The sequence below is a fragment of the Homo sapiens genome, chromosome 12 (assembly GCF_000001405.40).
Source record: "Homo sapiens chromosome 12, GRCh38.p14 Primary Assembly".
Classification (NCBI taxonomy): domain Eukaryota; kingdom Metazoa; phylum Chordata; class Mammalia; order Primates; family Hominidae; genus Homo; species Homo sapiens.
This window is the reverse complement of record NC_000012.12, coordinates 132,903,411-132,915,806: the sequence shown is the minus strand read 5'-3', so window position 1 is coordinate 132,915,806 and position 12,396 is coordinate 132,903,411. Positions and strand designations below refer to the sequence as shown.

The 12,396-nt window shown below is 45.8% G+C and overlaps 1 long non-coding RNA gene across 1 annotated transcript, besides 1 other annotated feature; it reads right to left on the bottom strand.

Moving 5' to 3' along the window:
- Positions 1-1,074: 1,074 nt before the first annotated feature.
- LOC124903065 (uncharacterized) lies at positions 1,075-7,139 on the bottom strand. The gene is made up of 2 exons (XR_007063553.1): positions 6,659-7,139; positions 1,075-4,813 (listed from the first exon to the last, which is right to left on the bottom strand). It is a non-coding gene; the product is annotated as an uncharacterized LOC124903065 (long non-coding RNA).
- Positions 7,366-7,415: a silencer, noted in NCBI's record as "silent region_5132". NCBI's record gives its function as "represses an Ori minimal core promoter by ATAC-STARR-seq in GM12878 lymphoblastoid cells {active_cell/tissue: GM12878}" and the evidence as "EXISTENCE:reporter gene assay evidence [ECO:0000049][PMID:35858748]".

The window sequence follows — 12,396 nt, the reverse complement described above, 5'->3', positions numbered from 1 at the left end:
CTGTAATCCCAGCACTTTGGGAGGCCGAGGTGGGCAGATCACGAGGTCAAGAGATTGAGACCATCCTGGCCAACATGGTGAAACCCCGTCTATACTAAAAATATAAAAATTAGCTAGGTGTGGTGGCATGCACCTGTAATTCCAGCTACTCGGGAGGCTGAGGCAGGAGAATCGTTTGAATCCAGGAGTTGGAGATTGCAGTGAGCCGAGACTGTGCCATTGCACTCCAGCCTGGGTGACAGAGCAAAACTCCATCCCAAAAAAAAGAAAAAAAAAACATTATAAAATGGGCAGTAGACATTAACAGATATTTCACTGAGAAAAACATACAGATGACAAGCACATGAAAAAACATTCACTATCATTAGTGATTTGGGAAACGCAAATTCAAATCACAATGAAGTGCTACTACACACCTATCAAGATATCAAGATGGCTTAAGTAAAAAATAGTCTGAGGCAGGAGGTTGGTGTGAACCTGGGAGGTGGAGCTTACAGTGAACCGAGATTGTGTCCCTGCACCCCAGCCTGGGCGACAGAGCGTGACTCCGTCTCAAAAAAGAAAAGAAATAGTGACAGCGGCTGGGTGCAGTGGCTCATGCTTGTAAGCCCAGCACTTTGGGAGGCTGAGGCGGGTGGATCACGCGGTCAGGAGTTCGAGACCAGCCTGGCCAAGATGGTGAAACTCCATCTCTACTAAAAATACAAAAATTAGCCAGGCATGGTGGTGCGCACCTGTAATCCCAGCTACTCGGGAGGCTGAGGCAGAGAACTGCTTGTACCTGGAGGCGGAGGTTGCAGTGAGCCAAGACACGCCATTGCACTCCAGCCTGGGCAACAGAGCAAGACTCTGTCTAAAAAAAAAAAAAAAAAAAATAGTGACACCATCAAATGTTGAGGGTACATAGAAGCTGTATCACTAATACATTACCAGTGGGAGTGGAAAATGGTACAGCAATTCTAGAAAACAGTTTGGCAGTTTCTTATGAATTAAACATCAAATTACCATATAACCTAGCAATTGCACTTTTGGGGATTTATCCCAGATAAATATATTTTCTCACCAAAACCTGTACACAGATTAATATCAGTTTATTTGAACAGCCAAAAACTGAGAATAAGGTAAATGGTTAAACAAATTGTGGCACACACATATGGAATGCTATTCAGGAAAATAAATGGACTACTGATACACACAAAAACTTGGATTAATCTCTAGAGAAGTACACCAAATGCAAGAAATCAGTCCCATAAGGTTGCATATTGTATTATTCCATTTATATAACATTTCTGAAATCATAACATTTTTAATGGAGGACAGATTCTTGTGTTGCCAAGGTTTAGGAATGGGGGTAGAATGGTGGGAAGTGGGTAAGTGTTGTTATAAAAGATCTGTATGTTGAAAACGTCAAAACGCTTATGAGAGAAATAAGGGAAATCCAAATCCTAAATAAATGGAAATATGTATCATATTTGTGGTTTGGAACAATAAATAGTAGAATGTCAGTTCTCTCTAGATTTACCTATAAATTTATTGCGATCCCAATGGAAATTCCAGCAGGAGTTTTTGTAGACATTAACAAGTTAATCAAATTTATTTGGAAAAGCAGAAGAAACTAGAATAGCCAAAACATCTTTTGTCAAAGAGGAACAGAGCTGGAAGACTCGCACTCCCTGACTTCGAAACTTACTGTAAAGATACAGCAATCTAAACATTGTGTCAGAGAAAGGATAAACACATAGATCATGGACCATAATTGAGAATACATAAATAGACCTTCGTGTATATGGTCAATTGATTTTTGACAAAGTTGCAAGGGCAAATCAATGAAAATAGTGGTTTAAAAAAATGGTGCTGCAACAATTGAAAGTCAATATACAAAACAAATGAACCTCAATCCATAACTCATCCCATATTCAAACTTAATAGATGAAGATTTAAATGTAAAACCTTCACTTAACAAAAATTCTAGACACTGCACCACAGCAAAGATAAAGAGTTTACCACTAATAAACCCTCAATGAAGGAACTTCCAAAGATTGCCATCAGAGAAAAGTAGTGGGTGAAGCCAAGAGGTAATACATGTGAACCTAAACTAGTATTGGCTATGTAAACTAACAATAATAATGTTATGTTACTGGTTATGCAACAAAAATAACGCAGAACTAAAACAGTGAGTAACATGGTATGTGTTCAGGATGATCAGAGATAAAAATGTTGGGACGCTGGGTGCAGTGGCTCACGCCTGTAATCCCAGCACTTTGGGAGGCCAAGGCAGACAGATCACCTGAGGTCAGGAATTCCAGACCAGCCAGACCAACATGGTGAAACCCTCTCTCTACTAAATACAAAAAATTAGCCAGCTGTGGTGGTGGGTGTGTGTAATTCCAGCTACTTGGGAGGCTGAGGCAGGAGAATCGCTTGAACCTGGGAGGTGGAAGTTGTAGTGAGCCAAGACTGTGCCACTGCATTCCAGCCTGGGCAACAAGAGTGAAAACTCTGTCTCAAAAAAAAAAAAAAAAAAATTGGAGCCAGGCGTGGTGGCTCACACCTGTAATCCCAGCACTTTGGGAGGCCGAGGCTGGTGGATCACCTGAGGTCAGGAGTTCGAGACCAGCCCGACCAACATGGAGAAACCCCAGTCTCTACTAAAAATACAAAAATTAGCTGGGCGTGGTGTCAGGCACCTGTCATCCCAGCTACTCAGGAGGCTGAGGCAGGAGAAATGCTTGAACCTGGGAGGAAGAGGTTGCAGTGAGTTGAGATCGCGCCATCGCACTCCAGCCTGGGCAAGAAGAGCAAAACTCTGCCTCAAAAAAAAAAAAAAAATTGGGATGCCTCTCTGTTGGTTATGGAGAGAGCAGATTAAGTGATTACCTTTAGACTTTGTTAAGTCTTGTATACATAGCAAACACCTTAACATTAACACTTAAAGAATAGATATTGAAAATGGAAGTGAGAAAGCTTGATTAAATCCAAAAGAAGATAGAAAATAATAAGGGACAAAAAACACAAGGCCAATGGAAAGCAAAAAGTAAAATGATAGAAATAAACATAACTGTATCAATAATCTTTTTTTTTTTTTTTTTTTTTTTTGAGACGGAGTCTCGCTCTGTCGCCCAGGCTGGAGTGCAGTGGTGCCATCTTGGCTCACTGCAAGCTCTGCCTCACGGGTTCACGCCATTCTCCTGCCTCAGCCTCCTGAGTAGCTGGGATTACAGGCACCCACCACCACACCCGGCTAATTTTTTGTATTTTTAGTAGAGATGGGGGTTCACCATGTTAGCCAGGATGGTCTCGATCTCCTGACCTAGTAATCTGCCCACCTCGGCTTCCCAAAATGCTGGGATTACAGGCGTGAGCCACCGCACCCAGCCAACTGTATCAATAATCACAAATCATATAAACTCATCGGTTTAAAAGCAGAATGTCGCATTATGCTTTAAAATATTCCATGTATATGTTTATAAAATAAATGCATAAAAATGTTATAAAAAGTGAGTATGAGTGGAAAAATATATACCTGGCAAACATTAATTGGGTAACATAAGCTTTAGGGAAACCATCGTTAGGAATAAAAAGGGTCATTATATAAGGATAAAAGTACAATTTTCTATGAAGATATAATGATTCTATGTTCAAAATTTCAAATTAACATAGACCAAAGAATGTATTATACAAAATAGGACAATTAGAGGAATAAACTACAAATCCACATTACCATTTGGAAATTTTTGCACACTTTTCTTAGGAATTGATAGAGCAGGACAGCACATAATTGGTAAGTGATCTGGTTTGGCTGTGTCCCCACCCAAATCTCTTCTTGAATTGCAGCTCCCTTAATTCCCACATGTGGGAGGGACCTGGTGGGAGATAACTTGTTTTGGCTATGTCCCCACCCAAATCTCATCTTGAATTGCAGCTCCCACAATTCCCACATATTGTGGGAGGGACCCAGTGGGAGATAACTGAATCTTGGGAGTGGTTTCCCTGATACTGTTCTCATGGTAGTGAATAAGTCTCATGAGATCTGGTGATTTGACAAGGGGTTTCCTTTTTGCTTGGTGCTCTGATTCTCTCTTGCCACCAGCATGTCAGAAGTGCCTTTCACCCACCATGATTATGAGGCCTCCCCAGCCACATGGAACTGTGAGTCCATTAAACCTCTTTTACTTTATAAATTACTCAGTCTTGGGTATGTCTTTATCAGCAGCGTGAAAATGGACTAATACAGTAAGTATATGAAAAATTTGATTTATACAATGAATACGGTGGGTTTAACTGATATAGGACACCACACAAAATGGGATATAATCTAAAGTGGCACTTACTGGAAAATGCATTACCCCAAATGCCTCTATTAGGAAAACAGGATCAATGGAAATGTAAGTGTTAAGCATCCAACCCAAGAGATTAGGAAGAATCCTAGAAAATATCCAAATAAAAGTAGCAAAAAGGAAATAATGAAGATGAAAATGAGAATTAACAGATAATAAATCCACATCTAAAAGCTTCTTTCTTGAAAAGACTAGTGAGGCAGGGCGCGGTGGCTAACGCCTGTAATCCCAGTACTTTGGGAGGCCAAGGCAGATGGATCACGAGGTCAGGAGATCAAGACCAGCCTGGCCAACATGGTGAAACCCCGTCTCTACCAAAGATGCAAAAAATTAGCCAGGTGTGGTGGTGTGTGCCTGTAATCCCAGCTACTTGGGAAGCTGAGGCAGGGGAATTGCTTGAACCCTGGAGGTGGAGGTTGCAGTGAGCCGAGATTGTGCCGTTGCACTCCAGCCTGGGCGACAGGGTGAGACGCTGTCTGAAATAAATAAATAAATAAAGACTAATGAAATGCAAAACTTCCATTGCTAGATTAGAAATAGACCCAGAATAGTCAACACAGTATTGAAGGAGAAGAGCAATGTTGGGGAGCTGACACTACCCAACTTCAAAATTTCCTATAAAGCGATAGTAATGGAGACACTCTGATACTGGCAGAAGAATGGACAAAGAGGTCAGTGGGGCAGAATAAAGAGCCCAGAAGCAGCGCCACACAAATATAGTCAACTGATGTTTGACAAAGGAGCAAGGGCAATGCAATGGAGAAAGGATAGTCTTTTTAGCAAATGGTGCTGGAAAAACTGGACATCCACAGGCAAAAATGTGAATCTAGACAAAGACCTTATACCTTTCACAGAAACTAACTCAAAATGGATCAAAGACCTGAATGTGAAATGCAAAACTATACAACTCCTGGAAGACAGCACAGAAGAAAATCTAGGTGATCCTGGGTTTAGTGATATTTTCTCAGATACCATACCAAAAGTACAATCTGTGAAACAAAAAACTGATAAGTTGAACTTCATTAAAATTTAAAACTTGTGGCCAGGCGTGGTGGCACATGCCTGTAATCCCAGCTACTTGGGAGGCTGAGGCAGAAGAATCACTTGAACGCGGGAGGTGGAGGTTGCATGGGGCCGAGATCGCGCCATTGCACTCCAGCCTGGGCAACAAGAGCAAGACTCCGTCAGGAAAAAAAAAAAAAAGGGCCAGGCGTGGTGGCTCACGCCTGTAATCCCAGCACTTTGGGAGGCTGAGACGGGTGGATCACAAGGTCAGGAGTTCAAGACCAGCCGGGCCAAGAGACCAGCCTGGCCAATATGGTGAAACCCCGTCTCTACTAAAAATACAAAAATTAGCCGGGCGTGATGGCGGGCACCTATCATCCCAGCTACTTGGGAGGCTGAGGCAAGAGAATTGCTTCAACCCGGGAGGCAGAGGTTTCAGTGAGCCGAGATCGTGCCATTGCACTCCAGCCTGGGCAACAGAGCGGGACTCCGACTCAAAAAAAAAAAAAAAGTAAACTATAAACTTCAGTTAATAATAATATATTAATATTGGTGTATCAGTTGTAACAAATGTACCAGAGTAATATGAAACGTAAATATAGGGGAAACACTATGGTAGAACATAAGGGGAACACTAAGGTAGAAAGGGATGGGGGGAACTCCTTGTTCTTTCCAGTTGATTTTTCTGTAAACCCAACACGCTCTAAACAAAAATAAAATATATTAATTTTTTTTTAGTGCAACTAAACAAGGTCCATGAAAAAGAGAATATTGGGTGGGCGCGGTGGCTCATGCCTGTAATCCCAGCACTTTGGGAGGCTAAGGCAGGAGGCTCGCTTGAGACCAGTCTGGGCAATAGAGTGAGACCTCGTCTCTATAAAAAATTTAAAAATTAGCTGAGTGTGGTGACACACACTTGTAGTCCCAGCTACTCGGGAGGCTGAAGTGGGAGGATTGCCTGAGCCCAGGAGGCAGAGGTTGCAATGAGATTGTGGCACTGCACTCCAGCCTGGGTGACAGAAAGAGACCCTGTCTCCAAAAAAGAAAAAAATATTACAGGTTGGTCTTAGGATATATATTTTTAAATCCTGGTGAAGGATAAGTGAGCTTTTCTCAGGGAAGCAGGTGGGACAGAGGGGAATCACTTTGGGAGTGGCCTCCCACTAGTGACCTCACAGACCCCCTCACTGACCCGGCAGACCCCACATCACTGACACGTAAGACCCCAGATGACGAGGCCTGCACATCTCCTGTGACGGACAGCTGAGACCCCGTACCACTGCCCGGACCCAGCCCTGGCCCAATGGGGCTCGCACCTCCAAAGCCCACGTCCACACGTTCCGAGCCCGCCGTCCCATCGCAAACATCCGGGGGCCGCCACTGCGCCTAACGACCGCCCATCTCTGACGCCTCGGGTCGGCGTTTGATTTTTAACCCAAGAAAAGAGTAAAAGTCAAGCGGAAATCAACGCAGAAGCGGTGCTGCAGCCTCTGAGCTTCCTGACGGCCGTGTCCAGAGCCGGGCTCCTCCTCCGGCGGCAGCCGCCGGGCTCACTTCAGTGCGCTCAGCTTCTCGCGGGGACAAGCGTCTGGGCGGGGACGGCCCGAGGCGGGGGTGTGGCGAGGCTGGAGAACGCTGAAAGCTGGTGGGCTTGGGAAGACAAACGACGCTCTGAAATTTGGCTCCCAGGTAATACGTTCCGGCACTTCGCGGCGGCTCAGTCAGCGCTGCTGGGTTCCACCCCTCCTATGCGTTGCTCAGGGACAGGTTTCTTAGTGACAGGCCCCTCACTATTCCCATTGGCCAGGACGCCCAAGGCCCACGCAGCCGTTGGCTAAAATTGTTGTCTGTTTCAGACACGTTGGCGAATTCCCCGCCTCTACGTTGCCGGGAGACAGCATGTTGCCTAGCAGCGTGCGGCTCCCATTGCCTTTGGGCGCGGCTCTCCGCCCCGACCCGCCCCTCTGGGACCCATCCGGGTCTGCGCCTCAGCTAGACAGGGCGGGCTGCGGCGCGCAGTCTTAGGCGTGCGCTTCGGGGAAGGGGCCCTCGCGTGGGAGGAGCGCGTCTGCGAGGGATGCGCCGGCGCAGGCGAGACCCGGAGCCGCGTGGTCTCTGCGCAGTGCGTCGTGTGGGGCGGCCGACCCCGGCCCGGGTTTCCCTGCTCGTTTTCGTCCGGGCGGGCGTCTTGGTTCCCGTTCCAGGCCAGCCCCATCCTAGGTCGCTGCTTCATCCAGCGCTTGGGGCATTTGTGTCGTTGGCGTTGTTTTCCTCTTAACTACAAACTTTAAATGTGTTCATCTACTCGTGACGGCGAGTTTAGCAGACTTTCATTCCCAGAAGACGTGTCACACGATCTGTATATTTTTCATACAGAAATTGACGGACGTCGTTACTTCTAAATTTCCACAGGGGCTGGTTCATCCCGCGGCTTTACCTAGAGAAAAACGTCTGAGGCCGGGCGCGGCGGCTCCCGCCTGTAATCCCAACACTTTGGGAGGCCGAGGCGGGCGAATCACGAGGTCAGGAGTTCGAGACCAGACTGGCCAACATGGTGAAACCTCGTCTCTACTAAAAATACAAAAAAAAAAAAAAAAAAAAAAAAAAAAAAAAATAGCCGGGCGTGGCGGCGCATGCCTGTAATCCCAGCTACTCAGGAGGCTGAGGCAGGAGAATCGCTTGAACCCGAGATGGTGCCACTGCACTCCAGCATGGGCGATAGAGCGAGACTCCGTCTCAAAAAATAATAATAAAATAAAAACCATGGACAATGGGAGGAGAACATCACACACCGGGGCCTGTCGGGGGTGGGGGGCCAGGGGAGGGATAGCATCAGGAGAAATACGTAATGTAGATAACTGGTTGATGGGTGCAGCAAACCACCATGGCACGTGTATACCTATGTAACAAACCTGCAGGTTCTGCACATGTACCCCAGAACTTAAAGTATAATTTTAAAAAGAGAGAGAGAAGCGTCTGAGCGTTTCTCAGGGACGGCGGGTGGCAGCCAGGACGGGCTGGGGCGGTGAAGTGCGGGGCGGGAAGCGACGCGTGCGCCTCCTGCGCTGGCTTCTGTGAAAGGAGGGACTGATTGGAGATCACTGCTGAAAAGTGGACTACGCATCAGTGAATAGTTAGTGAAATATGAGCTTCTACATTCAAAACCATTTGTGCTTTAAAGATTTTGTTTCACCATGGTATCGTATTTATCTGAATCCTATGTTGCTTTTGCTTTGTAATCTGAATTGTCTGTCACTCCCCCAGTCTCAGTTTTTTGTTAACTGTTCAATATTCATAGAAATGTCTCTACATGGGACCCTTTAACAGAGAGAGTAATCTGTCATAGCAAGTATTTCCTGAGTAGTTTCACTGATTCTATGTTTTTAGCAGGTCAATGTTTTCCTGGTTAGTTTTATGATTTTATCTCAATTTTTACCAGTTTGTAACCAGAACTGGAGTATTAATGAGAAGATATATAATTGTAAGTAAATATTCTATTTATTAGAAGAATAAATCACCCTGACAGTCAACAAATAATCTTTTTAAAATTTTTCATTGATGTATTGATTTATTTATTAGAGGGAGAGTCTCTGTCGCCTCATCTGGAGTGCAGTGGTGCCATCATAGCTCACTTCAGCCTCGAACTCCTGGGCTCAAGTGGTCCTCCCGCCTTAGCCTCCCAAGTAGCTGAGACTACAGGCACGTGCCACTGCGTCAGGCTGATTTTTGTATTTTTATTGGAGATGAGGTCTGCCTAGGTTGCCCAGGCTGGTCTCAAACGCCTGGGCTCAAGCCATCCTCCCGCCTCAGCCTCGCAGAGTGCTGGGATTAGAGGCACGAGCCACCACACTCGGCAATAATAACAATCTTTTTAATGGATCCACTCAAACAAAATAGAACCTGCTCAACTAAAATTTCCTGTCTATCCTCAAATAATATTAAAAACCATCCTATCTTAATATGAATTACCCTAAAATCTATTATTGGCAAATATAAGTTTTCAGTACATCAGTGAATGCTGAAGTTAGTTATATTGGGGAAACTGGCTTTTGAAATATATTTTTTAATCGATTGTAGATAGCATTGTGTGTTCAGAAGCTGTGATGGAAGTGGCATTCTACACCGGACATCTGCTGATACAATACACATCTCTATAGAATCTACTTATTATAAGGACCACTTCATGTATTATCATTATGAAAATCATGATCTGCGAAAATAGGAAGAAAATTAAAGCTAGAAATGTATGTGATTTAATCTCTCTGTTTTGGCTGGCCTCAATTCTGCAGCTTCCTAACACGTTTGAAGCAAGGGTCCTTGCCTGTGATTGTATTATTAATACATTCTATGTAAGCTTAGTTTAAATGATATTGTTCCAGCCAGGCGTGGTGGCACCTATAGTAACAGCTACTCAGGAGGCTGAGGTGGGAGGATCCCTTGATCCTAGGAATTCGAGGCTTCAGTGAGCTATAATGGTGCCAGTGCACTCCAGCCTGGGTGACAGCAACACCCTGAAAAAAAATTAAAAATAAGATAAAATGATATTGTTCATGTGAAAGAATGCCCATTCTTTTGCAAAGATAGTGCTCTTTTGGTAGCTTTTAGAAGTTTTGGATTTGGAAGTTGAGTTCTTCAAGTTCATTATTATTCAGGGTTGTATTTACAATTCTAGGTTTACAAACAGTTTGTCAACATCTACGAAATTAATTGCGGGGATTTTTGTCGGAGCGGCACCAACTCTACAGTTGGGAAGAATTGACATCTTAGCAATATTGTGACTACAATAATGAAAAAGGAGTATGCTCCGGTTATGTTTTCCTTTTTTTTCTCTCTTTCTCTCTCTTTCTTTTCCGTCCCTCCTTTCCTTCCTTCCTTCCCTCCCTCCCTCCCTTAAGATAGAGTCTCCCTCTGTTCCCCCGGCTGGAGTGCAGTGGCCCCATCATGGCTCACTGCAACCTCCCTCTCCAGGGCTCAAGCCATCCTTCCATCTCAGCCTCCCGAGTAGCCGGGACTACAGCCGCACACCACCAAGCCAGTCTAATTTTTGTATTTTTAGTAACGACAGGGCTTGGCCATATTTCCCAGGCTCCTCTGGACTCCTGACCTCAGGCGAGCCCTCTGTGCTCCGGACCTTCCGGAGTGCTGGGATTACAGGTGTGAGCCACTGCGCCGGCCTACGTTTTCTTTTAATAGTGTTTCATAGTTTTCTGGATACAGATGGTTTCATATTTTGTTAGAGCAAGGATTTCTTGGATTTGTTGTATCCAAGGATTTCTTTTTGTTGTTTTATTGCAAACGGTAGGCCTTTAAAGTTTTCCAGTTTCAGTTGACTTTAATATATTGGCTTTGTACTTTTGCTTCTTGTTACCTCCCCCACTCCTATCAAGCCACAGAAGAGGAGGCTCCACCGCACTTTTGATCTCCAAAATTATAGTTTAGGAGATACGGTTCAGAAAAGAGCGGGGAGGCGCGCTTCTTTCGCTGATGGGGTGCGCTCAGCTCCTGCGCTGCCCCTGGTGGCCGGCAGGGCGCGCCCAACCCTACGATTGTGGCTCGTGGCGCGCATGCGCATTCCGCCCGCGGCGTCGCCACAGGGTGAGGGAGCTTGGCTTCCTGAGAAGCCACCCAGGAGCCCCGGCTTGGGGATGACTTGAGGCCGCGTCTTCGGTGAGGAAAAGCTTCCCAGAGGAACTCTGCCGGGGAATCTCTAGAGTCATTGTCCTTTTTTAAAAATGTTTTTATAGGCCGGGCGCGGTGGCTCTCGCCTGTAATCCCAGCACTTTGGGAGGCCGAGGCGGGTAGATCATGAGGTCAGGATATCCAGACCAGCCTGGCCAACAAGGTGAAATCCAGTCTCTACTAAAAATACAAAAATTAGCCGGGCGTGGTGCCGCGCGCCTGTAATCCCAGCTACTCAGGAGGCTGAGGCAGGGGAATTGCTTGAACCTGGGTGGCCGAGGTTGCAGTGAGCCGAGATCGTGCCATTGCACTCCAGCCTGGGCAACTTGAGCAAGACTCCGTCTCTAAATAAATAAATAAATAAATAACGTTTTTTCGCTTTTTTTTTTTTTTTCTCTGAGACAGAGTCTGTTTCTGTCGCCCAGGCTGGAGGTGGTTTCGGCTCACTGCAACCGCCGCCTCCCGGGTTCAAGCGATTCTCCTGCCTCAGCCTCCAGGGTAGCTGGGATTACAGGCTCCCGCCACCACGCCCAGCTAATTTTTGTATTTGTAGTAGAGATGGGGTTTCACCATCTTGGCCAGGCTGGTCTTGAACTCCTGACCTTGTGATCCATCCGCCTCGGCCTCCCAAAGTGCTGAGATTACAGGCATGAGCCGCTGTGCCCCGCCATGCGCCGCATTTTCTTTCTTTCTTTCTTTTTTTTTTTTTTTTTTTGAGACGGAGTCTCGCTCTGTTGCCCAGGCTGGAGTGCAGTGGCGCGATCTCAGCTCATTGCAACCTCCACCTCCCGGGTTCACGCCATTCTCCTGTCTCAGCCTCTCCAGTAGCTGGGACTGCAGGCGCCCGCCACCACGCCCGGCTAATTTTTTGTATTTTTAGTAGAGACGGGGGTTTCACCGTGTCAGCCAGGATGGTCTCGATCTCCTGACCTCATGATCCGCCCGCCTGGGCCTCCCAAAGTACTGGGATTACAGGCGCCGCATTTTCTTATCCATTCATCTGTTGATGGACATTTAGGTTGCTTCCAAATCTTGGCTGTTGTGAACAGTGCTGCAGCAAACATGGCAGTGCAGACATCTCTTAGACATGCTGATTCCCTTTCCGGTATCTAGCCATCAGGGATTGCTGGAGCTTGTGGTAGCTCAATTTTTAGTTTTCTGAGGTACCTCCAAACAGTTCTCGGTAGTGGTTGTACTAATTTACATTCCTTCCAACCGTGTATGAGGGTTCCCTTTTCTCCACGTCCACCAGAGACACTTTCCTTAAATTCATAAGCAGAGATTCCCTCATGTTCTGGAATGTTCCCATGCGTTATTCTTTACTTTCTCTGGAAAGTAAAGATCTCGGAGTGAGATCTGTTTTAGGCATTTCCCT